This window comes from Homo sapiens, chromosome 6, assembly GCF_000001405.40.
Source record: "Homo sapiens chromosome 6, GRCh38.p14 Primary Assembly".
In the NCBI taxonomy this organism is placed as follows: domain Eukaryota; kingdom Metazoa; phylum Chordata; class Mammalia; order Primates; family Hominidae; genus Homo; species Homo sapiens.
The window spans coordinates 160,870,840-160,895,747 of NC_000006.12; the positions used below are offsets into that span (position 1 = coordinate 160,870,840).

Below are 24,908 nucleotides of genomic sequence, written 5' to 3' on the forward strand. Positions count from 1 at the left end.
CTTTGCATGTAAGATGGGTCTCCTGAATATAGCACACCGATGGGTCTTGACTCTTTATCCAGTTTGCCAGTCTATGTCTTTTAATTGGGGCATTTAGCCCATTTAAATTTAAGGTTAATATTGTTATGTGTGAATTTGATCCTGCCATGATGATGCTAGCTGGTTATTTTGCACATTAGTTGATGCAGTTTCTTCATGGTGTCATTGGTCTTTATATTTTGGTGTGTTTTTGCAGTGGCTGGTAATGGTTTTGCCTTTCCATATTTAGTGCTTCCTTCAGGAGCACTTGTAAGGCATGCCTGGTGGTGACAAAATCCCTCAGCATTTTCTTTTCTGTAAAGGATTTTATTCAGTTATGAAACTTAGTTTGGCTGGATATGAATTCTGGGTTGAAAATTCTTTTCTTTAAGAATGTTGAATATTGGCCCTCACTCTCTTCTGGCTTGTAGGGTTTCTGCAGAGATATCCACTGTTAGTCTGATGGGCTTCCCTTTGAAGGTAACCTGACTTTTCTCTCTGGCTGCTCTTAACATTTTTTCTTTTGTTTCAAATTTGGAGAATCTGACAATTATATTCTTGGGGTTGCTCTTCTAGAAAAGTATCTTAGTGGTATTCTCTCTATTTTCTGAATTTGAATGTTGGCCTGTCTTGTTAGGTTGCGGAATGAGTATTCTCCTGAATACTCATTTTGTTTTACAGTTTTGAAGTGAAAAGTGAATACAAGAAGTGAAAGTAGTTCAATAACTCAGCTTAGAAACATGAAGCCAAATATTGAAGGATATTTTGCAAAGATTGCACAAGGAAGTACAATCTTTAAAACTAAATGTATATTCTATTCAAATAGTAGAGCCATTGTTTTTGAAAGGTTATAGATATGGATCCATTTTTATAGATAATGTACAAACTTACTGAATAAATATGGAAAATTTCCCCCCCAAATAGTAGATAGTATGGTGTGAGAAATCTAATAAATAACTAAACATTCACCAATACGAGTTTATAGGATATACCACTCTCTGGATGTAGTAGGTGATAATTAGGCATATAAGATAAAAATTTCGTAAGCATGACATACTGGGAAAAAAGGTTAGCCATCACCTTCAATATTGTATGGCTGTGGTATTGAATGCTAGCTATCACTCAGTATCTATTCTTTTATTTTATTTTTTCAGCTTTTGGTGTAGCACATGGTTGCTTAGAATAAGAAGTGCCTATCCCAATCTCCTTTGCAGCTAGGTACAACCAGGATAATATAAATACACAATATACAAAGCCTCGCATTTTACAGAGAACTAATATGTTGGCTTTCTGTTATAATCTACAATTTATGATTCCCAATTTGATATTGTTGCTGTTTGTTTTTCACTAGCCTTCTGGGCTCTTAAATAAACTTGGGGATCATATATGGGTAGGTGAAAGGGGAGCAAGTATCAATACATTGAACCAGAAAAATACCTGAGATGATTAGGAAACAACATAGAGGTCAGTGTGATTGGAGCAGAATGAGGTAAGAGAGAGTGACATAAAACTGAGACTTAAACACTAAATAGGCCCTTTAAAACCATTGTTAAGAACTATTGTATTTCATCCTGAGATGAAAAGCTACTACTGGAGAGCTGCAAATAAAAAAAATGAACTGTTCTCAATTACTTTCTTCTTTTCTTTTTTTTTTTTTTTTTTTACAGAGAATATGATTTATTTGAGAAGTATAATAGAATTCCTAGTTATCTAATTTTACTAACTTTTTTAATGTTTAGCTTTGATAAAATACAAAAATAACGTAAAAATTACCATCTTAACCTTTTTAATTGTATAGTTCAATTGTATTAAGTATCCTCACATTGTTGTTTAACCAATCTTCAGAATATTTTCATCCTGCAAAATCAAACCTTCTTATTTCCCTCCCCTGCCCCACTTCCCCCAGCCCCCTATTTTACTTTCTGTTTCTGTGAGTTTCACTACAGTAGATACCTCATACTAGTGGAATTGCATAGCTGAAAGAAAATAATACATACTTTGCTATGTAAAATTTACTCTGATGCATTAAATTGTATTCAGTTCATTGTATTTTATTTTAAAAAGAATTAGAAACTATTCGTTGACCTACAAAAGGATATCTTATTGTAAAAAATACTGTTTAGACTTTGAGAGCAACCGGTTCAGCATGGTATTTAAGATGATCAACTCTGGATGCAGACTGCCAGTCTTTGAATTTGAGCTCCTTCACTTGCAAACTGTGTGTCCTTCTGCAAGCTATTTAAACTTGCTATGCATCCGCTTCCTCATCTAAAAGCAGACATAATAATAGTACTTAGAGAGTTTTAATTAACACATGAAATCATTTAGAAGATTATTTGTTGCATAGTAAAAGCATATGTAGTGGTTATTTTCCCATTATTTTTTAATTAATAATGAACATTATGCTTTACCTTTAGAGAAGAGTTCAGAAACTTAAATGCTGGTAGAGGAAATACAATGATCATAAAACATGAGAAGTGTAGTGTGTATATGACAATAAAATGCTGGTATTGTGACCCTAATTACACTGCATTCTAAAATGCTGGGCTAAGCCAAGCAACACAGCAAAACAAAATATGTCTAGGAGTCATTATTACCAGCAGATACCAATTGATTATTCTTAGTGTGAACCACAATCATTAATTTAGGACAGCAAATAAACCAACCTAACAAATGTAGCTCTGAGCCTTGGATATCAGAATTTTAAATCCCATTAATTAAACACTTATGATATGTCCACATTAAAATTAATATTATTTGAAATCCCATTATTAAAATGTAAGACAAATCAACAATGGTGTGCGTGTATATAACGATATATATAATAAAAAATTAACCTACAACACATACACACATACTTACACACAGTGCACACACACACACACACACACACACATAGTTGAACATCTGTAATCATCCTTCCATATCTTTGGGTTCCACATCCATGGATTCAGCAAACCACAGATCAAAAATATTTTTTAACCAAATGAATGGTTGGAATGGTTGCATCTGTACTGACCATGTACAGATTTTTTTCTTGTCATTATTTCCTAAATAATACAGTATAACAACTATTTACATCACATTTAAATTACATTAGGTATTATAAGTAACCTAGAGATAACTTAACACATACAGGAGGATGTGTGTAGGATATACGCAAATACTATGCCATATTCTATAAAGGGCTTGAGCATCCACAGATTTTTGATATCCATGGGACTCCTGAAACCAATGTCCCGTGAATACCAAGAGATAATTTGGCATTGTTTTATATACACACATGCATATAAAACATCATATATATATACATATATATAAAACAATCTGCAGTTCCATTAATTTATACAATAATCAGCAGTGCTTCTCTTCTTCAAAAGATTGATGATAATCTACTATATTTCCTAATTTAAAAAAAGATTAGTACCTGATAGGAATTCTTAATATGTAATTAACTGATACATTTTAGGTGTAAAATGTTTTATATTGTCACACTGTTTTGTACTCAAGAGATAGTTGATACATTAGAAGCTTTCCAAAAGAGTGTTGATGAACAGGCAATTCTATTGAAATTTTTTGACCTGCAATTTGGCAGACAAACTTACAAACACTTTCGGAATTAATTTAGAAACAAAATGATTTTAACTTGCTTTCACTATAATAACTGTCATTCAATTTCTATTTGCTTAAAGTGTCTTGCATTTTATAGTGACTATATTCTGTGTCTTATGCAAAAGATATTGCAATTTTGAACAATAATAAACACGAATTATTTTTATAACTTTTATATTATTATATTTCAGCAACTTTGGTATTTATTTGGAGTAAGGCAGCAGCTAGTAAATAGTATTGAAAAAGAAAAGTAATGAGAGTTGTGATTATGTTTCCTTATGCCAACTTGTTTAAACTACAGTCCCCAGTCATTCATTAAACATTAATGTATTCAATGAGGTAAAAGCATTTTTTTGAGGAGGTGAAAGTACATAATCAATTCACTTTACATTAGGGAGATTATCCCAGATAAGCAATTCTAGATAATCTGAGTGGGCCTGATTCAATTAGTTGAAAGGCTTTAAGAACACAGCCTGGGATTCCTGATGAAGTTGTTCTCCTCATGAATAACAGCTCAAGATTGCCAGCCTGCTCTTCCTAAAGGTTTGTTTTATATGTTTTAAACCTGCTTACCTAACCTGCATAATCACATTAACCAATTCCTTGAAATAAATATCTTAATATATATACATATCTCTTGGTTCTTCCTCTCTGGTTGTGCCTTAACTGACACAGCGTTAGTTGTTAATTGCCTTATCAGATATGAAGGTATGTTTTGAAGTTAAAATTATGAAAATGTTGTCATACCAGTATACAGATCAATACATTGATCAATGGAAGATGGTAAATGATATCTATATGCAAGTCATAAAAAGTGGAGTTCTAAGTCAGTAGAACTTGTAAGGAAATACAACAAAATTCTGACTATCTTCTATAGGTTGACAGTATTAAAAGATGCTGTAGATCGGGCGCGGTGGCTCATGCCTGTAATCCCAGCACTTTGGGAGGCCGAGGCAGGCTGATCACGAGGTCAGGAGATTGAGACCATCCTGGCTAACACGGTGAAACCCCGTCTCTACTAAAAATACAAAAAATTAGCTGGGCGTGGTGGTGGGCACCTGTAGTCCCAGCTACTCGGGAGGCTGAGGCGGGAGAATGACGTGAACCCAGGAGGCGGAGCTTGCAGTGAACCGAGATCGCACCACTACACTCCAGCCTAAGCGACAGAGCGAGACTCTGTCTCAAAACAAAAAACAAAAAACAAAAAAAGATGCTGTAACATAATGTAATTGTATAAAAAGAAAAGAATAAAATAATGGCAATAAGAAAAACATTCTCAATTTTACTATTAAAAACTTACTAATAGAAAACTTTATTCACAGAAATTCATATAGAAAACTGTGAATAATAGATAAAGCTCAGCTGTGTTTGTCAACTGTCAAAACCCACCACCTCCCAGCTGGACCCTGAGGAGATGGTGGATGATAAAATCTAATGTTCATCAAGGATGTTGGACAATCAATGAAAATCAGCTGTATGTTAATAAAGCTGTATTGCCTGTCCTTTACATCTTTACTTTAATTAGATGTTTACATTTTGCCCTTAAGAAAATATAGGCAAATGTTTTTTCCTATATTTTCCTTGATGAAAAATATTGAGATATCATTTGATTTCTTCCTTTCCCATTATTCCCTTTATTTCATTTAAGATGTATACTCATATTGTATCGAGCTCAGATCTCTGAACTCTTCCTCTTAATAAACAAAACTTCCATTTCTTTTAATTCATTAAATCGAACTATTTTAATCTTTCCTTGACGGTGATTTTACAAACAATGGTTGTTTATCAGAGAAAATAATATCTGGACTAGAAGAAGAGTCAATGAGATTAGTTTTGCAAATTATCAAGTCAGTTACCTAACTTGCTAAGTGCTGCCCAAATATTAGTAGTTTAATAATACTACAGAAACATCGTGTTGTCCACCTTTATAAAAATTATTCCAAATAATTATGTCATTTGTTTTCATTTGAAAAATACATAGTTCAGACAGTTAAGTTAATGATTAAACTCATGGAAGCTGACAATTCAGAATGAGCAGTACGATAATGTAAGATTAATTTTACAAATATTTTAAAGTTTCTATTAAATATTTAAAAATTATACATCAACTGGGTCTTAAGATGGCCAACTCAATGCAGCTGGGAAGTGCTTCTCCCATGGAGAAAGGCTGAGATTTTGACTAAATCAACATAATTTGAACAGATCTTTGTAAAGAAGATGTCGAATGTGGATGTAGAGAAGATGCAGGCACTGAGGCTAAAGAGGAAGGAAGCTGGAAACTCCGCGTTGGGTAACTGAATGCTGGGGCTGCTTCCTGGCCCCAAATGGTGTCTGAGGAAGGGGTAAGTGAAAGGATTTGGAGACTGGAGACCTCACGCCTGCCACGGACATTTGAGCTGCTTGGTGGATGTCTTCAGAGATTAGACAGAGACAGAGCTGCTGCAAGCTTGGTGCCAGGAAACATTGTGCTAGGGACAGCTTTGGCAGAGCCTAACCCACCAAGGGCTGCCTATCTCCCTTTGAAGGCTCTGGCCCTAGCTAACCACTGGGGAGAAAGCAGAGCCACCTTCCCTGTGGGACTGGGGCACATCTGTCCCACAGGCCACCTGCCTGCCAGCCCCTCCTAGGTAGGGCTCCTCCCTGGCCACCCTGCAGAAGCCTGTACACAACATAACTCCACTGCCCACTCTGGGTGCTTTGCGCCACCTAAGTGCATTCTGGAAGCCTGGGAGCCCTTCGAATCCGACAGCACACCTGGGACTCAGTCCCAACGGTCTGGAGGAGGGAGCTGCAAGCAGGTCCTGGTACCCCAGAGCCCTGGCCCATGGCTCAGGATTACCTAGCCAGGATCTGTGCCCTGCACTCAAGTCGGGGAGGACCCCACACTCTCAGAAAACTGAGAAGGGTGAATTGCAGAGGTTCACAGGTTGGCCTAGGACCTAGATGTGCTTACCTCCACAGGACAGGTCCAGTAAGGATGTGCCCTATTTTCATACTGGACTTCTGTCCAAGGGAGCCCTGAGGCTGAAACATCAAATTAAAAATAAATAAATAAATAAATAAATAAATAAATAAATAAATAAATGGAATGGCTGGCAAAGTGCCAGTGATCAGAGGCAGCTTCCCCAGACTCCAGGAGTGCACCTGGTGAGGGGGTCACCTGTCTCCCCCTTGCACCACAGAGCATAGCTGCAAATCCAAGGATATGCAAAGGAGTCATACTGCAAATAACAGCCTGTCTACCAACCATTGCTGTCAAGCACTATCTACCGGATTGCAGCCCAAACTACCAAAAACAACAACAAGTCACTCCGCTAATTCTCCCTGCTGATAAACCAAGGGCAAGAATTCAACAACAAAGACCCTGTACAGAGTCTTAGCCCTCTGAAACCTTCCAGAAACAAAGCCAACTGACTATACTAGATTTCCATCACAGTTAACACCAGCCTTCTCAGATGGGAAAAAATTAGCATAAGAACTCTGGCAATTCAAAAAGCCAGAGTGTCCCCTTACCTCCAAACAGGCCCACTGGGTCTCCAGCAGTGGTTAATCAGTCTGAAATGTCTGAAATGACAGACATGGAATTCAGAATCTGGACGGCTAGGAAGCTTATCAAGACAAGGAGAAAGTTGAAACTCAATCCAAGGAAGCAAAGCAATTCAGTAAAATGATTCAAGAGTTGAAAGACTAAGAAGCCATTTTAAGAAAGACCCAAACTGAACTTCTTGAGCTGAAAAATTCACTACGAGAATTTCAAAAGACAATCAGAAGTATTAACAGCAGAATAGACCAAGCAGAGAAAAGAACCTCAGGGCTTGAAGACAGCTAATTGAGTCAACTCAGTGAGGCAAAAATAAAGAGAAAAGAGTATAGAAAAATGAACAAAACATCTGAGAAATACGCAATTATGCAAAGAGACCAAATCTATGACTTATTGGCATTCTCGAGAGAGAAAGAGAAATAATAAGCAACTTGGAAAATATATTTGAGGACATAGTCCATGAAAATTTCCCTAATCTCACTAGAGAGATTGACCTGCAAATCCAAGAAATATAGAGGACCCTAGCCAGACACTGCAAAAGACAACCATCCCCAGGGCACATGGTCATCAGATGCACTAAAGTCAACACAAAAGAAAAAACCAAAAGTAGACACATGGGACTTAAACTAAAGAGCTTCTGCATAGCAAAAGAAACTTATAACAAAGCAAAGAAACAACCTGCAGAATAGCAGAAGTTATTCACAAACCATCCATTCAACAAAAGTCTAATATCCAGCATTGATATGGTTTAGCTCTGTGTCCCCACCTATATCTTGTAATCCCCATATGTTGAGGGAAGGACTTGTTGGGAGGTGATTGGATCACAGGTCTCCCCATGTCTGTTCTTGTGATAGTGAGTGAGTTCTCACGAGATACGATAGTTTAGAAGTGTGTGGCTGGTCAGGTGCAGTGACTTACAACATGCCTGTAATCCCAGCAGTTTGGGAGGCCAAGGCAAGCAGATCACCTGAGGTCAGGAGTTCAAGACCAGCCTCCCAACATGGTGAAACCCTGTCTCTTCATAAATACAAAAATTAGCCAGGTGTGATGGCAGGTGCCTGTAATTCCAGCTACTCAGGCAGCTGAGGTGGGAGAATTGATTGAACCCAGGAGGCAGAGGTCGCAGTGAGCCAAGATCGCACCACTGCACTTCAGCCTGGGTGACAGAGCAAGACTCCATCTCAAAAAAAAAAGGGGGTGTGGCTTTCTTTGTGTTCTCTCTCTGTCTCAGTCTCTCTCTCTCTTTCTCTCTCTCCCTCTCTCCTGCCACTTTGTGAAGAAGGTGCTTACTTCCCCTTCAACTTCCACCATGGTTGTAAATTTCCTAAAGCCTCCCCAGCAATGCAGAACTGTGAGTCAATTAAACCTCTTTTCTTTATAAATTATCCAGTCTCAGGTAGTTATTTATAGCAGTGTGAGAATGGGCTAATACAAGCATCTATAGAGAATTTAAACAAATCAACAAGCAAAAAGCATTTACCCTATTAAAAATGTGCAAATCACAGAAACAGACACTTCTCAAAAGAAGATATACAAGCAGCCATTGAGCATATGAAAAAATGCTCATCATTACTAATCATCAGAGAAATGCAAATACAGCAATGATATACCATCTCACATCAGTCAGAATGGCTATTACTAAAAAGTCAAGAAATAATGGATGCTGTTGATGCTTCAGAGAAAAGGAAATACTATATACTGTTGATGAGAATGCAAAATAGTCCGGCCACTGTGGAAAGCAGTCTGGAGATTTCACAAGGAACTTAAAGACACCTACTATTTGACCCAGCAATCTCACTACTGGGTACGTACCCAAAGGAAAATAAATCATTCTACCAAAAAGACACATATACTCATATGTTCATCGCTGCACTATTCACAATAGCTAAGACATGAAGTCAACCTATGTGCCCAGCAGCATAGATTGGATAAAGAAAATGGGGTACATAAATACTATGGAATAATATACAGCCATAACAAAAATGAAACCACGTCCTTTGCAGCAACATGGATATAGTTGTGGGCCATAATCCTAAGTAAATTAACTTAGGAATAGAAAAACCAAATACTACATGTGCTCACTTATAAGTGGGAACTAAACATTGAGCATATGTGGACATTAATATGAGAATAATAGACACTGTAGAACACTAAACAGAGAAAGCGGGAGTGGGTCATGGGTTGAAAAACACCTATCTGATACTATGCTCACTATGTGAGTGGTGGGATCTGTGTTAGTCCATTTTCACACTGTTAAAAAGAACTACCTGACACTGGATAATTTATAAAGAAAAGAGGTCTAATTGACTTACAGTTCCACAGTGCTGGGGAGGCCTCAGGAAATGTAGAATCATGGTGGAAGGTGAAGGGGAAACAAGCACCTTCTTCACAAGGTGGCAGGAGAGAGAGAGAGAGAGATTGAAAGTGAAGGAAGCCACACACTTTTAAACCATCATAACTCATGAGAACTCACTCACTATAACGAGAACAGCATGGGGGAATACACCCCCATGATCCAATCACCTCCCACCAGATCCCTCCCTCCACATGTGGGGATTACAATTGAGATGAGATTTGGTTGGGAACACAGAGCCAAACCATATCAGGATATGTACCCTAAACCTCAGCATTACACAATATTCCCATGTAACAAAACTATACATGTACCCCCACATCTAAAACAAAAGTTAAAATTAAAAAATATGTATATATCAAAAAGAATATATGTACACAATTAAAGCTTCATAAAATACTTTTATATCTGATAAATTTTAATGTTAAATCTAAAAATTGAATATTAAATGTGGTTAATGTTTAACATATTATTTCTTGTCAGAAATTGTCTTTATATATTAGTATGTACTTTCTAAGAGAAGCATAAGATATGTGAGGCAACCATGTCTTTTTATTAAGCACCTTAAAATTTTGCAGGTTTAGGAATCCATCTTTTCTTGAAAATTGTTTTAATCAACGTTAAAATAGTTTGAATTAAAAAACCAGACTTAACTCCCTAACAATTTTTTTTAAAGTTTTCTCGGAGGTTACTAAACTTAATCACTAAGACCACTGTCATCAAGGTTACTAATGGGCTATTGTATTTTGCTAAATAAAAAGTAAATAAGAAAAATCACAATCTTAGTTTACTTCCCAGCAGAATTTTACCTTGCTGATGGTTCTTATACCTTTTTAAAAAGTATAATATTAACATCAAAATTGAAAAGCATACAAATAATGTTAAAGTGTCTGAACAAGCAATTGGGAAACATCATCTTATTCTTCCCACTCAGCAGATATAACTATAGTAAGCAGTGCACATGGACATAGTCTATAAACTTTGAGACATGTGTTTATGCACATTCAAATGCACCAAGTCAATAGAAATGTTAAAACTGTTCAAAATAAGTTAATGAGGACAGAGCCTTTATAAAAAATAAAAGAACAAATGGGAAATTATCTTAATGGATGAGGTAATTTGTTGACATTTCCTAAAATACGAGCTGTGTTTATTTTCCTCTTTCATTCCTGACTCATTTTTGCTTTTCTGAACTATTCCAACATCTGGAAGTTCAGCCCTCTCTTCCAGCTCGACTGAGCTGCTGGCAAATGCTAATTTAAGGTTAAGGCACAAACCTGCTTGTAACACAAGGGAAGCCACCAAGGACCTGTAGGCATTCTGCTACTTTGGCCCCATGGAGAACAGAATCAATTCTGCTGCAGATGGTAAAAACCAAGGAATAGTCAACAAATGTTTGAACTAAACAGCAGAATAAAAGAAAAATGAAAACCATCACATGGAAGAATTTACACAAAAAATTATTAAAAACAGAAAGTGACATTAAGGTACATGTATTTAATATTCTCAGAAATATGCTTAGGTATATAAGAAAATGTAATGGGCAAATAAATTACACAAGAAAGGAAAGCGGGGCTGAGGAATTGAGAGACAAAGTTAAGATGTATACAAGCTGTCAACATACATTTGATGAGGATTTTTGCAGGAGAAAACAGGAGAAACAGACATCAAATAATGGAATTAATAATACAATATGTTGATAAAGTGCAAACTTACATTTTTTTCATGTATGCCTTTTGTGAGCTATCTAAAAATTCTTGGCCTAATCCAGAGAAGTGAAAATTTAAGGTTAAGACCATATATGTGTGGGTCTATTTATGACTTTATTCTGTTTGTTTCTCTGTATTCTGTCTGTTGCTCTGTTCCTACGCCAATACTTAAGTGCCATGATTACAACAGAAAACTATTTTTATGTTTATGATGCTGATTATTTCTCCACGTTCTTCCACATGATTCTTGGCTCTTTGTATTTCCTTTTTGGATGTTTTTTTAAAAAGATTTTATCTATATTATTTTGGATAATTCATGTTTTTCTTCTTAATGTGTAAGAACATTATCCTTTTCTCTATATTCTTATGTTTGTAATTGCATTTAATTTTGTTTCTGGTCTTTTATTGTTAATTTTAAAGGTTTAGAAACATTATCTGCATTTTCCTTTGTGATTCTTTTTCTCATAACTGCAATGCTTAGATAGTTCCAGAAATCACAAACTTGATCATTTTGCATCTACATTTTTCTTGATAAATATTTCTAGTAAAATACTTTCAATTTTTAAAATTTTGACTAAAACTTAAAAGTAGAGAAAGAGACATAACAAATTTTTTAAAAAATCTTAATATTGTTTGCATATGCCTTCAGACGTGACCATCAAAGATTTTTCCTGAGAGTTTTTTCCAAAGTGAGCTATAAAGTGATTTATTTTTCCCTTGGATCCGAGTGGTATAGAATTGTTATCCCAGAGGTGGCAATAGTTTTTTCTCACCACATGGAAAAAAAACTCCATACACAAAGGGTGCAGATGGCAGCCTGACTTTCATAGTCCTGTAACCCTGACTGCAAATTACAGCTTGTAATGAGTCACATACAGATTGTGAAAGGAAAATATCCTAGGCCCTTTCATGCTGGGAACTGCTCAGAGCAAATCTGTCTCCCATTCTATTCAAAGTTATTCCTATGCTCACTGAGATAGATGCATATCTGATTGCCTCCTTTGGAAAAGCTAATCAGAAACTCAAAAGAATGCAACCGTTCATTATCTCTCACCTACCTGTGACCTGGAAGCCCCCTCCCCGCTTCCAGTCTTCCAGCCTTTGTTTTAAGTTGTCCCGCCTTTCCAGACTGAACCAATGTAATTCTTACATATATTGATTGATGTCTTGTGTCTCCCTAAAATGTATAAAACTAAGCTGTTCCCGAACACCTTGGCACGTGTCGTCAGGACTTCCTGAAGCTGCGTCACAGGCGTGCATCCTTGACCTTGGCAAAATAAACTTGCTAAATTAACTGAGACCTGTCTCAGATTTTGGGGGTTCACATTTTGGTAACCACAGGGGGATTCTGAGTGAAGATGCCCCTGGCCTGTGACAAATCTCCTGTGGGTGCTTGGTACCCGCATCAGCTAACTTTATGGCTCAAACCAATGGGACAACTTGCTGAGGCCTGTGAGCACCTCCTCAGTGAATCCCTGACCTTTCAAAATTTGGTCAAGATCTAAAGTTTATTTTGCTGTACAACTTCTTTTTTTTTTTTGAGTTTTACTTGCTTCCAACAAGGAAGGCATGTCTTCCTACTTCCATGACGATGGAAAGCAGGTAACCCCTTTGTGGAGTTTGAGCTCGCTGCCAGCAGGGAAGAGGAGTTTTATTTTTCCCTGCTGCTAGGATGGGAGAGTGAAGTCTACAGCCTGAGACCCATCACAAGGTAAGAAACTGGTTTGGGATTCTGTCTTGCAAATTCTTTTTAAACAACTAAGGTTAGCATTAACAAGCAGCTGGTTTTAATTTCTGCTTACACTTAGAGCACTCAGAAATCATATAATTTGTGTGATCATTGTTAGTTTTCCTTAACTGTTTTGTTGTTTGTTTCTTAACTGTCTCGTTGGGTTTGTGTGTGTGTTTGTTTCAGTGCTTTCCCTTATCAGATTTGACCAACTCCAAACCTTCTAGCTCACTAATGTGGAATGTTCCACTCCAAAGAAATAAGAGCACCTTGCTCCCCTCAGCCTTTCCTGGCATTCTCAGGCAACTGAGAATCACCTGAGGGTGTCTGGGAGAAACACTCCCTAAGACATGCAGTGGCTCTAAATAGGTTCCCCCTCAGAAGAACATACTTGGAGTTTAATCTCAACCAGCAGGTACATAGAAGGAGCTGACCCCTCCCGAACCTTGAGGCCCTGACACACTGTGCCAGGTGGCTGAGACATGGGCGGACAGAACAGGTTCAGGGGGTCATGACTCTGAAGAGCTAGGTCTGCGAGCAGCACATTTTGGGTCTGACATACGTCCCAACTTGGTCAGATCCAAAGAGTAACTCTGAATTATGGGGAACAAGGCCTTTGAAGTGGGAGGAAAATGGCCAGCAAAAGGGAAAAAGAAAAAGGGAAAAGATTTTTAATTTTGACTACAAAAGGGGCTTTATTTACATAACAAGGCCACCTTTTTGCCAGTCAAACCAAACTGAAAGAGGAATGGCTGTACTACTGAATTAGCAGCATTTTCTCCTAGCTGACATATGGTAATGAGATTTTAAAATATTTTTTAAAGAAGTTCAATGATTAAAAGTCAGCTTAATTAGAAGGATAACATCCAAGATGTGAGTGTGTATGTGTGCACGTGTGCATATTTGTATTTAAAAGGCCTTCATTGTTTTGGGTTTTTTTGTTTGTTTTTCTCTCCTAAGACCTTGTCTTTTTTTGAGCAAAAGTTTTTTTTTCTTTCTTATCAGTTGACTGAATGCTCTTTTCACCTGATTTATTGACTAAAATAGTTATTACAACAGAGGCTACGCTTGGGTTTTTAAGGGAGAATGTAGTTTAGACACTCAGAAATGTCTTTGTTTAAAAAAAGTTTTTTTAAGTACACTATAAAAGCGTCTCCCTCGAGTACCACCAGACTTTTTCTCTCTGTACCTTATGATGGAAATTTTGCTATTTAATTTTCAACTGAGTTGTTTCCTTTAATATGCAAATTTAAGCCTATTTAGCTATCAACTGCCTCGGGTTGTAAAACAGGTTATCAAGGATCTAAAAGTCTAAGATAGGGAAAAAAAAGGTCTTATTGAATCTATAAGATGTACTTCCATCCACATGCCCAATACATCTATGTATTTATGTATTGTGTATACAATGTTTCACTACTGAAAAATATATAAAGGGCTTAAAGAAAAATGAAAGCATTTAAATAAAATACTTTATCAGGAAAAAAGAAAAGACTAGTCAAATGCTTTTTCGAGTTTATGGAACTTAAGTAAAAGCTTTAATAAATAAGCCAGCTTTAAAATTATTAGTAAAGTAATATTAGAAATGTCTGAGGAATTGCCAGCATACTTTTTTTTTGCATTTATTAATCAGACAATTTCATGCTTATCCCTGCCAAATAGTGTAAGATGTCAAAATTTGGCATAGGGGTTACAAAACTATAAACCTAGCCCAAAGCAGAGTGATCTTTGCTGTGTAATTTTTAATAAATAAGACATTGATATCGGTTTAATGAACATCTGCATCTTAAATTTAGGAAGATTACCATAATTTCTAATCTTGGCTTTAGGGAGTCTAGTCCACAGGCAGTAAGGAGGTTTGTTCTGGGAAAAAACTGTTACTGTCTTTGTTTCAAAGCTAGACTGTAAATTAAGTTCCTCCCAAAGTCCAGGAACGAAGAAGGACAGCTTGGAGGCTAGAAGCAAGATGGAGTCAGTTAGGTCATATCTTTTTCACTGCCTCAGTTATATTTTTGCAATGGCAATCTATAACTTTAAATCATAACTATCACAGTTTTCATAAATAATCCAGGTAAACAATTAAAATAAAATAATTAGGTAAATGTAATGAGATAAATACTTGTAGACAAATGTCATAATTTAGAATCTAAAGTTAAATTAAATAATAGAGATTTCATTATTTGGGTATTTTCCAATCTATATTGTAGGAGAATATTCTTGCAAAAAAAAAAGTGTGTCCTTTTTAAAAAAAAAAATAGGTGAACACGTTTTATCTAATTCAAAGCTTATTTAAAGGTTATGTATAAAACAAGGTAAAAGGAACCAGGAAATAAAAAAGAGATGTAAAAAAGTTATAAAAATAAAGAGATTTTATGTGTGCATGGTAAGAAAGCTTAAAGAGAAACAATTTTATATGAGAAAGAATCTTATATGGCAGATTTAGTCTTAGAGAAAATGACGGGTTGTTTCAGAAGGAGGAATACTCAGGACAAACCAGAAGGTCCCAAGCATGTTATGAACAGTTAGTGTAAGTCACAATAAGAGGATTTATTTTGAGGAAAAAAACCCAAAAACTTGTATATGATGAATTTGTCATATTATGATTAAGTTTTGGTTTGCTTAGGAAAAATAACTGAGATAATTTTTTTGAATTAAGGTTATTACATCCATATATCTTCCTGTATGTGCTTTTAAAGTTTTTGTGACATTGAGTTACAGGGCTTTGACTCCTGGGTCTAAAAAGGACACCAATTCCTGCTAAATCTTAAACACTGACAGCAATTAAAGCCTCATCTTCAGGCCCTGTAGAAGATGCCAATCAAAATAAACTGCATTCCTGAGACACAGGGCCAGAAAGGAAAGCCATTCAACTTCTCAAGGCCCAGGGACTATCACAGAAGAGGTGGGCATGTAAGATTGTAAGGGCCGATTTTAAAAGATAAAATAAGTTCAGTTTCTGCATAAATTAATCATTAATGTCAAAGACACACTGATGCAAGACCAGCATATGGACCACTGTGTCAGATTAGCAAGGTTTTCTTGAGGCATTAACCAACTCCTTAATAAAGGTTATAAAAGTTATAAAAGGCTTATGGAACTTATATTTTATGATCAAGATTAAATTTTATAGATTGGTTGCAAAATTTGGGAAAACATTTAATTGGCTTCATGCTATTTTTATTAGGACTTCTTATTTGGAAAATTAAGTCTCCTCTCTCAAAGAATGAAGGTTTTCACTTTTTTGAAATGCTTGAGTTACCACTTGGTTACATGAATGACTTCACAATGGCCTGTAATCCTATTTTGTGATATCAAGTGTCTTAAACCTTTTATATTTGACAAGCTTTCCAAAGTCAAACTACAAATTGTGTCTTTTTCTGACCTAATTAATCCTTTAAGATATTAGTTTCCCTAAAGTCCAAAAATGACATAAGTTGGCTTATTTGGTAAAAAAAAATTATACCAGAAGAATTGTCAAATATTAAATGGTGCTTTATTTTCTTTGGGCTGTATTTGTATAAATATGTTATTGGTAAGTGTTCCAAAATTATGGAAAACTCCTGTTATTTTGATATGACTTAGTGTACATTATTAGTAATGATTGTTATGTTAAAGTTATTGTGTGCCACAGTAATAATACATTTCTTTGTCAATTGTGTCTTTGACTATGGGTGCCCTAAAACCTTTTTTCATCCATGGACAATTGTCTTGTTTTGGTCCTCTTTAGAAGTTGGTTTCATAATCAGCTATAAAACTTCAACAGGTGCTCTTGAGTGCAAGATTCTGATAACTTCAAAGATTGTAACATTGGAACAGAGAAAAAAATGTTCAGGACTCACGGAGAGTTAAAATGTTCATGAGTATCAAGCAGAATAGAAATTAACTGCATGGACTGAACTATTCTTCCTAACTTTTAATGTTTGCTGATCCTTTGTGTTGTTTTTCAGAGTCTTAAAACTTTTCTTTTGAGCTATTGACAGCTTTAAAAAATTTAGTATACTCCTATGAACAAAATTTGGAGCATTTTTGTTTCTATCTGATTTCTCCAGAATTTGGAACTATTTGTGAGTATTCTTAACTTATGGTAATATAGTTATGTGCATAAGTGCAACAAGAAACTGTTTTCAGGCCAGGAGTGGTGACTAATGCCTTTAATCCCAGCACTTTGGGAGGCCAAGGCAGGTGGGTCACCTGAGGTCAGGAGTTTGAGAACAGCCTGGCCAACATGGTGAAACCCCGTCTCTACTAAAATACCAAAATTAGCTGGGTATGGTGGTGGGCATCTGTAATCCCAGCTACTTGGGAGGCTGAGGCAGGATAATTGTTTGAACACAGGAGGTGGAGGTTGCAGTGAGCCAAGATCGTGCCATTGCACTCCAGCCTGGGTGACAGGAGTTAAACTGCATCTCAAAAAAGAAAAAAAAAAAAAAAAAAAGAATCTGTTTTCATTTGTAACAGGACATAATTGGAGAAACTGGTTATTTGACCAAGACTTTAACTGGAATGGTGTGCTCTCCTTTAAGGAATCAAACTTGAGTTATGGAGCCAATAAAGCCCTTGGAAAAACTGGCCTCATATTCTGTGTACGCAGTCCCTGTACAGGATTTCTGACCTGTGCTAAGTAAAGAATGTCACTTTCTGACAGGCCCAGAAGCCTCAGGTTTATCTTGGAACCTCAAGAGGAGAGGAAATATACCCAACTCATAGATATTTGATGGCACGAATCCATGGCTGGGCTCAGCTTTTAAAAAGTTTTATCTGAGATTCCTTCTATGGAACAAAGTTCCATTAAAGCCAATTTAAAAGCCTATGTAAAAATAATTATTCTTGCTGCAATGCATACAAATAATTAGGCCAAGTATAATAAAGAAAACCATTTTCGATTTGCCTTTAGCAAAATGGGAAACTGGAGAGAGAAAAATTATGTTTCAAAAACTATAGTACCCCTGTTGTTAGGATCTAATCTTGCCTAATGTTTTTCCAAGTCTTCAGAATAATGTTTTCTTTTATTTCCTTCTTTTTTTCCATTTTTCCTAATTGGGAGTCACTGAAAACTAAGTTATGCTTTCTTTAAACCCTGCAAACTCAAACCAGACAACCTAAACTTCAGAAGAAAATAACAGCAATCTATTTACATACATAAGCCACTTTCATACCTGCCTACTGTTGTATAGACTTCAGAGTAATGTGGCCTATATCAGTTTTCCAGGATTGCTCTTTTGTTTGTTGTTGTTTTTCTCCCCTCCTCTCCCTAATTTCTCTTCATAGGATGTGAGACTTCACAACCTGCTAAAAATGAGCTTTTGGGACCTACCCATCTAGGAATAAACCGTCCTAACCATAAGAGATCAGGTGAAACCTGACACCAGAGGCTCATTTTCTTCTAAAATGTTTTCTGCAAAAGATTAAGAAGAAAAGGGGGAAAATGTGGAAGGAAAATACCTTGGGCCCTTTCAAGCTGGGAACTGCTCAGGGCAAATGTGCCTCCCATTCTATTCAAAGTCATCCCTCTGCTCATTGAGATAGAAGTATATCTGATTGCCTCCTTTGGAAAGGCTAATCAGAAACTCAAAGGAATGCAACTGTTTGTTGTCTCTCACCTATCTGTGACCTGGAAGTCCCCTTCGCACTTCCAGTCTTCCTGCCTTTGCTTCAAGTTGTCCTGCCTCTCCAGACCAAACCAATGTACTTATTACATATATTGATTGATGTCTCATGTCTCTCTAAAATGTATAAAACTAACTTTTGCCGTGACCACCTTGTTCACATGTCGTCAGGGCTTCCTGAGGCTGTGTCATGGGCCCACGTCCTCGACCTTGGCAAAATAAGCTTTCTAAATTAACTGATAACGTGTCTCGGATTTTTGGGGTTCACATATCCAGAAGTATATCTATAAAAAATTATTTATGTTTTCTTCAAAATTACAATATCCACTGTATAGAGCACCATAGACATAAGTAACTCCATTTTAGAAAAAGACTTCATCTTATATTTCAAATGGCATCATATCAGTGGGACCAGATGTTTGTCTAATCAATAGAGTCTATACCCAACAAGACTGAGGCGTAAGACAGCCCTCGCCAGAGGATGCAAGGAGGTACGAAGAACAGGGCTTCATCAGTTCAACACAGTCATCTCATTAGACATTGTCCTGCTGTCACTCTTGGGCAGCGCCTAGCATCTGCTGCTAAAGGCTCTGCCCAAATCAAGAACTCTCCCTTGCAAGACTTTGACAAGCGCCTGGATTAGTCCAAGACAGTCTCCTTGTCCATGTTGCTATCCTTGGACTGGTTCATTAACATCTTTCCCTATACTACACAGTTTTCTCTCAATGTTAAATGTTACTGTGATGTGGAAATTTTAATCTACCATATGCATGTATTAATTATACTACTATGTATGGTTTGCCATATTGACTAACTTGTAGATCAGCTTGAGCCTGTGTGTTCTTGGCTGTGACTGCCAAGTGAAGAGATAATGCTAAGGAGAGTTGTCTCCTTGGGAACTCCCTGTAGCTTGTGGCTTTTATGAATAAATAAGCATCAGTAAAAGCCTGACCTTAATGTTGTACCTGATCAAGTCAGAGAAAATGCCACACTTTGAGATGAATTAAAGAGTCCGTTTATTCAGCTGGTGGCCAAGAGACGGCTAAAGCTCAAAGTTCTCTCGGCCCCGAAGAAGGGGCTAGATTTTCTTTTATACTTTGGTTTAGAAAGGGGAGGGGGGGTCTAGTTAAAACAATTTTACAGAAGTAAAGTAGGCAAAAAAGTTAAAAGGATAAATGGTCACAGGAAAGTAAACAGTTCCAGGTGCAGGGGCTTTAAGACTATTACAAGGTGATAGACGCTGGGCTTTGGGCATTATCAATCGGACGAATTCCTGGGAACTGCGGATATTGCTCGCCACAGTATCTTATCAGTTAATTGCATTCTTGGATGTGCTGGGAGTCAGCTTGCACAAGTTAAGTCGTTGAGGAAGGGGCTGCCAGTGAAAAAGCCAAGATGGAGTCTGTCTGGCTTTCTTAGCTAAGGGAGAGTCAATTCAGGTGGAAACAAGGCTAGGTGATTAAAGGAAAGGGAGAGTCTAAGAACAGGGTTAGTAAAAAACAAGGTTGGGCATTACATTATAAAAAGATACAAACATGCCTGTATCTGATTATGTCTGACCTTGTACATCTCATGACATCCGCAGTCAATGAACATGTCTATTTTAGTCTCTGAATAGGCCTGGAAAGGAAAGGTATACACAAATACTTGATAAGTGGAAAAAATAAATGTTTGCAATTTGGGTACATACCAATACCTTCCTTCTGTTTATTAATTGTTTAAGTTTTGCTTTTGTTGTATGCAACTAAATCATGTTTATGGTATGCCTGTGTTCTGTTTTTTGCAATTATTTGACATAAATACACTGGTTTTGTTTTTATTTTGTTTGTTTTAGTCTACCTTTCCTCAGATAATGAGAGCACTATCTAAACATGCAATCTTTCAGGAGACAAAGTTGTGTATTATCCTTGTCTGCAGCCTTTGAACTTCAGAGAGATGGTTACTTTCTGGCATCTGATAGCTCTCTCCATTGTGATTCTACTGAAATAAATCACTTCTGTCTTTAATCATGATTCTGTATCTGAACCATTGGAGTCTACAACAAATAGTAATTTCCACATGTGTTGTTTTCAAGGATTTTCTTTGCTCTGCCCCACTTCAGCAAGTACTTTGTTATTTATGGACCATATTTTCTAAAATATAAAGCCATATAACTTTATCCACTTCTCCCTTGTCCCCTTTCTTGCCTTTTGGTTTCCTGATAATTTTAAACCATAAATTGTTAAGAGAGGTTTACTAGGAGTATGAAGACACATGAGCAGAATGCTCACTAAGTAGAAGGAAAGTCAGAACCTTCCCCAGGGTTCTCAGTGGCAAGTTATGGCGAAGGGGTTAAGCTAAGGTGGACCAATGTCAGGAAGTTCCAGTTATACTGTATTTTAGTGAGGACAGAAGACCTCTCACTTGTCAGCAGTCATTTCTGGCTGCTTTTTCCCAACTTCCTATAATACAAAATGTTCCAGGCATGCCATGAAAAACAGAGAGAAAACAACTCAATGTGGAAGCTTTCCAAACATTTGGGGCCTAATGACTAAGACATTATGAGAGAGGTGAGGGACCTGGGTCAAGAAAAGAAAAAGAAACAATATTCCCAAAAAAAGAAAGCATCTAGGGTGGAAAATCATGGGATAAAACCACACTATTGTGTGAGCCACGGGAGGCTGTCTGCTGATCTCTGAGGGCCACACATATTTTGGGGCAGAGGGGAAGGGGAGTATCTTTATTTACAATTCCTTCTAAATTTTCTAAAACTAAATCTACTGATGTAATATTTTCTGTTCTATCCTTGTTTTTAATGGAAAAATAATTTGAGGATTTTGAAGGAAATGTGATTTATAATCTTATTCACAGTCCAGGAAATGGCAAGATACTTCTTTGAAATTATTAAATATTTCTCATAATTAAATGCTTTAAAAATCCAACTCCATGGAATCAAAGCTCTTGTATTAAATCATAAAACATCACAATGATAGTTAATTTCCCTGTTTTCAAAACAGTAATTTGTTAGTAGTTACATAAATAAAATGATCACACACCACTCTTGACATACTTTTAATTGTAATATTATTTTGTCTTTTGAATTCCCACAATAACTTACAGAATTGATTGCTTCCTGAAAGGCAAGAGCTTATGTAACAGAACTATTTTTATTCTAACATGTACATTTCAAAGGTGAATCAAGAAAAAAAATTGTTTTATTTCTATTATTGTTATTACTATATTTTTAAAGCTTTTTAAACTTCATTCGGAAATTCTGTATTTCTGATGGGCAGAAAACAATCTGATGTACAATGTCCTTTTCACTAAACTACATCTTTTTTATTTTTTTAATGTTGATTTTTAAGAATTTAAGGACAAAGATCCTACCCCTTCCTCAGAGTTGGCCCTAACTCTACCCCTTTCTTTCATGAAAGATGCATGAAAAGTAGATTTTATACTCTTTACTTCCACTCTTACTCAACGTTCAGAAAACCAAAATTCCTTGAATGACTACAGGATTGCATTAAACATGTTACCTACCCTGTCTGATGTGTTAATAAATGATAATAATAAATTGCTATAGAGGTTATCAGAGTGGTCATTAGGTCCCTCACTCCTCAATCCACTGATACCTGACTTTCACTCCACCCACTGCATATGAGCTCATGTATTGATCTCAAATATTTTACAATTATAATCTGGTGGTATATTCTTAATCTTCCACTTTTGTGGTTTGCTATAGCACTTGACAAGTAGTAACAATAAGGCTTAGCATTTAAGAGAAGTAGCATTGATTAAAATTTTTATCTCTTTAAAATTCTCTCATGAAAAAGATCGCTGTAATAGTAAGACTTAGTTTTCCAGAATTAAACCAGGTTTTTCACACCTCCATCATTTCTGCCTCATGTGTCCTGTGGCCACTTTATCCCCTGATTGTTCAGGATGTGGCTCCTGCTCATGATTTTCACTCTGGAATGTGAATTCTCATATTTGGTTATTCTTTTTTAGTGTCTGTGCTGTTCTATTTACTTGCGTGCTGTTGACACAAATGTCCCCATGTCTTTCTGGCCAATCTCATTGGGTGACTTAAAGATTCATCTTAAATGACTCCTAGACCTACATCTCTTGTCATAGATTCTTTCTTTTGTACAGTCTAAATATGTATTTCCCACCGTCTGTAATTTGTTCCATCCTGAAGGGGTTTACAGTTATTTCAATATAGAGTCAAACATTAAAGGTATTTCTTCTACATGTACAAATTTATAATGCATTCCATTCTGTGGATTTGAGAAGGTTAATTAAACTTCTTTCCCTGGTTTTCTCATCACTAGTTGTTTGATTTAAGAAAACATAAAACTCTTCATACTCTGGCCTCTTTTTTTTTGAGATGGAGTCTCGCACAGTCACCCAGGCTGGAGTGTAGTGGCACGATCTCGGCTTACTGCAACCTCCACCTCCCAGGTTCAAGTGATTCTCCTGCCTCAGCCTCCCGAGTAGCTGGGATTACAGGCGCCCACCACCACACTCAGCTAATTTTTTGTATTTTTAGTAGAGACGGGGTTTCACCATGTTGGCCAGGCTGGTCTCAAACTCCTGACCTCATGATTCGCCCGCCTTGGCCCCCCAAAGTGCTGGAATTACAGGCTCTGGCCATTCTTAAAGGTCCATTCACTTATAGCTCCCTCAGACTCAATTTTCCCCAGTCTTCCCTTCCTTTTTGTTTCTGGTCTGTCTCCTAGAACAGTAGGCAGGATGGGGAAGAGTTAAGAACAGATATAGAGGTGAACACTGAAGACATTTACATTTTTCTCCTGCCCAGGACTTTCAGTTTAATACCTTTTTGTTATACCTCATTTTAAATGGGAATATATAACACAACTAAAACAGAATCTTGATTAGAGATTCGAAGTCTTCCTTCATCTGGAATAGAGCTTTAATAGAAAAGTTTCTTGAATGATATGCTCCATTCTGCTGAATACAATTTTTTCTAGCTTAAAGGTAATAAGGAGTAAGAAAGCCACATATGTACAATGTGGAGATATTGACAGGCTGTTCTCAATTTGCGGTAGTGGATACAGGGTAAATACCACAGGTTTTCTAGAAAACTACTGCTAAAAGTCAAAGAAACTTTAAAAAATAAAAATGACTTATTCCATCGGCCAAATGGGAAACACTCTGATATATTTATTATTTGTTTATTTAAAAGCAGTATTTGTCAAATAAGTACTGTATTTCAGGGATATAGAATATCTATAACTTACCAACAAGTGCATTTTAGGGGAAAACTAATCAAATGCTTTATTAATAGACTATTATTGAGAACTCTCATACTGAAATTTAACCCCAACCCTCACCCCTTTAACTGCCTTTTCTATATTTGGGACACAAACAAAAATCATAAGCCAGAAAGAATAACAGAATACAAACTAGGAGTTTCCTCCTTAGGGTAGCAGATACACACGGAGGACTAAACATCACACGTTTAACTAGAAAGGAGCTGACTAGAAAATCACTCTTAGCTTAAACTCTGAAAACAAGAATTCCAGAGCAATCATTATAACAGCAGGGCACACCAACAGGAATTTGTTTTGAAAAACAGAAGAATGTTCTAGAAATAAAATAGTTTGTGTTCTCAGTCCAAATTACTGGAAAATAAAAATGAGAAATAAATTCAAAAGTTAAAAGAATATATCTAAAAAAGAAAGCATAAATAAATCATTAAAAAGGAAAGCTACATTTGAGGGCTTAAAGCTGTATTATGAGCAAAAAAAAAAAGAACTGGACTATAGAAAATTGAATCAATGATGTGGAGGAAATAGTAAGTCCACTCAGAATGCAGGTTAAAATGTGACCAATGCTGAGATAACAGAGAACAAAAAGAAAGAGAATAAAAAGTCCACACAAATACACTTGAGTTTCCTTAACAAGAAAGCAGAAGCAATGGTTTAGAAGCACTAATGAAAGAAATAATAGAAGAGTGTTTTTCTGAGATGAAGAAAAATCAGGAAATTTACCTAATGGTAAATTCACATAAAACGGTCTTTTAAATCAGGTCTTTACATGATAAAGGACTATCTTGTACAAATGGAAAACAAAAATATTCAAAACTTCTGTTGCAGGATGTAGCTATAGCTATTGCTTCAAAATATACAGTCCCCAAATACCAGCAGCATACAACAATAAGAATTTTTTTCTCACAGATCTGCACATCCACCAATAAAGCTCTGTGATCTCAGCTGGGTTCACTCACATGTCTGGGAGTCAGCTGGATTTAGCAGGGTAGCTCTGCTTCACTCCACAGGCCTACCTTTCTCAGGTGTGCTCCACATCTGATTCTGAGACCCAGGCTGAAGGGCAGCAGCCT

General features: G+C 36.5%; 1 long non-coding RNA gene and 1 pseudogene across 1 annotated transcript, besides 6 other annotated features; one reads left to right on the forward strand and one right to left on the reverse strand.

Moving 5' to 3' along the window:
• LOC107986665 (plasminogen-like protein B) overlaps positions 1 to 24,908 on the forward strand; it is a 124,780-nt pseudogene that overhangs the window by 96,911 nt on the left and 2,961 nt on the right.
• Positions 2,049 to 24,865, reverse strand: LOC112267969 (uncharacterized). The gene is made up of 2 exons (XR_002956374.1): positions 24,795 to 24,865; positions 2,049 to 2,286 (listed from the first exon to the last, which is right to left on the reverse strand). It is a non-coding gene; the product is annotated as an uncharacterized LOC112267969 (long non-coding RNA).
• Positions 6,672 to 7,604: an enhancer, noted in NCBI's record as "OCT4-NANOG-H3K27ac-H3K4me1 hESC enhancer chr6:161298543-161299475 (GRCh37/hg19 assembly coordinates)". NCBI's record gives its function as "activates a minimal SCP1, AML or CMV promoter by ChIP-STARR-seq in naive H9 embryonic stem cells {active_cell/tissue: H9 hESC(naive)}" and the evidence as "EXISTENCE:reporter gene assay evidence [ECO:0000049][PMID:30033119]".
• Positions 11,929 to 12,561: an enhancer, noted in NCBI's record as "OCT4-NANOG-H3K27ac-H3K4me1 hESC enhancer chr6:161303800-161304432 (GRCh37/hg19 assembly coordinates)". NCBI's record gives its function as "activates a minimal SCP1, AML or CMV promoter by ChIP-STARR-seq in naive H9 embryonic stem cells {active_cell/tissue: H9 hESC(naive)}" and the evidence as "EXISTENCE:reporter gene assay evidence [ECO:0000049][PMID:30033119]".
• Positions 13,204 to 13,404: a silencer, noted in NCBI's record as "peak6293 fragment used in MPRA reporter construct". NCBI's record gives its function as "represses an SCP1 promoter by STARR-seq MPRAs in K562 erythroleukemia cells {active_cell/tissue: K562}" and the evidence as "EXISTENCE:reporter gene assay evidence [ECO:0000049][PMID:32103011]".
• Positions 17,524 to 17,724: a silencer, noted in NCBI's record as "peak6294 fragment used in MPRA reporter construct". NCBI's record gives its function as "represses an SCP1 promoter by STARR-seq MPRAs in K562 erythroleukemia cells {active_cell/tissue: K562}" and the evidence as "EXISTENCE:reporter gene assay evidence [ECO:0000049][PMID:32103011]".
• Positions 17,994 to 18,799: an enhancer, noted in NCBI's record as "OCT4-NANOG hESC enhancer chr6:161309865-161310670 (GRCh37/hg19 assembly coordinates)". NCBI's record gives its function as "activates a minimal SCP1, AML or CMV promoter by ChIP-STARR-seq in naive H9 embryonic stem cells {active_cell/tissue: H9 hESC(naive)}" and the evidence as "EXISTENCE:reporter gene assay evidence [ECO:0000049][PMID:30033119]".
• Positions 20,464 to 20,664: a silencer, noted in NCBI's record as "peak6295 fragment used in MPRA reporter construct". NCBI's record gives its function as "represses an SCP1 promoter by STARR-seq MPRAs in K562 erythroleukemia cells {active_cell/tissue: K562}" and the evidence as "EXISTENCE:reporter gene assay evidence [ECO:0000049][PMID:32103011]".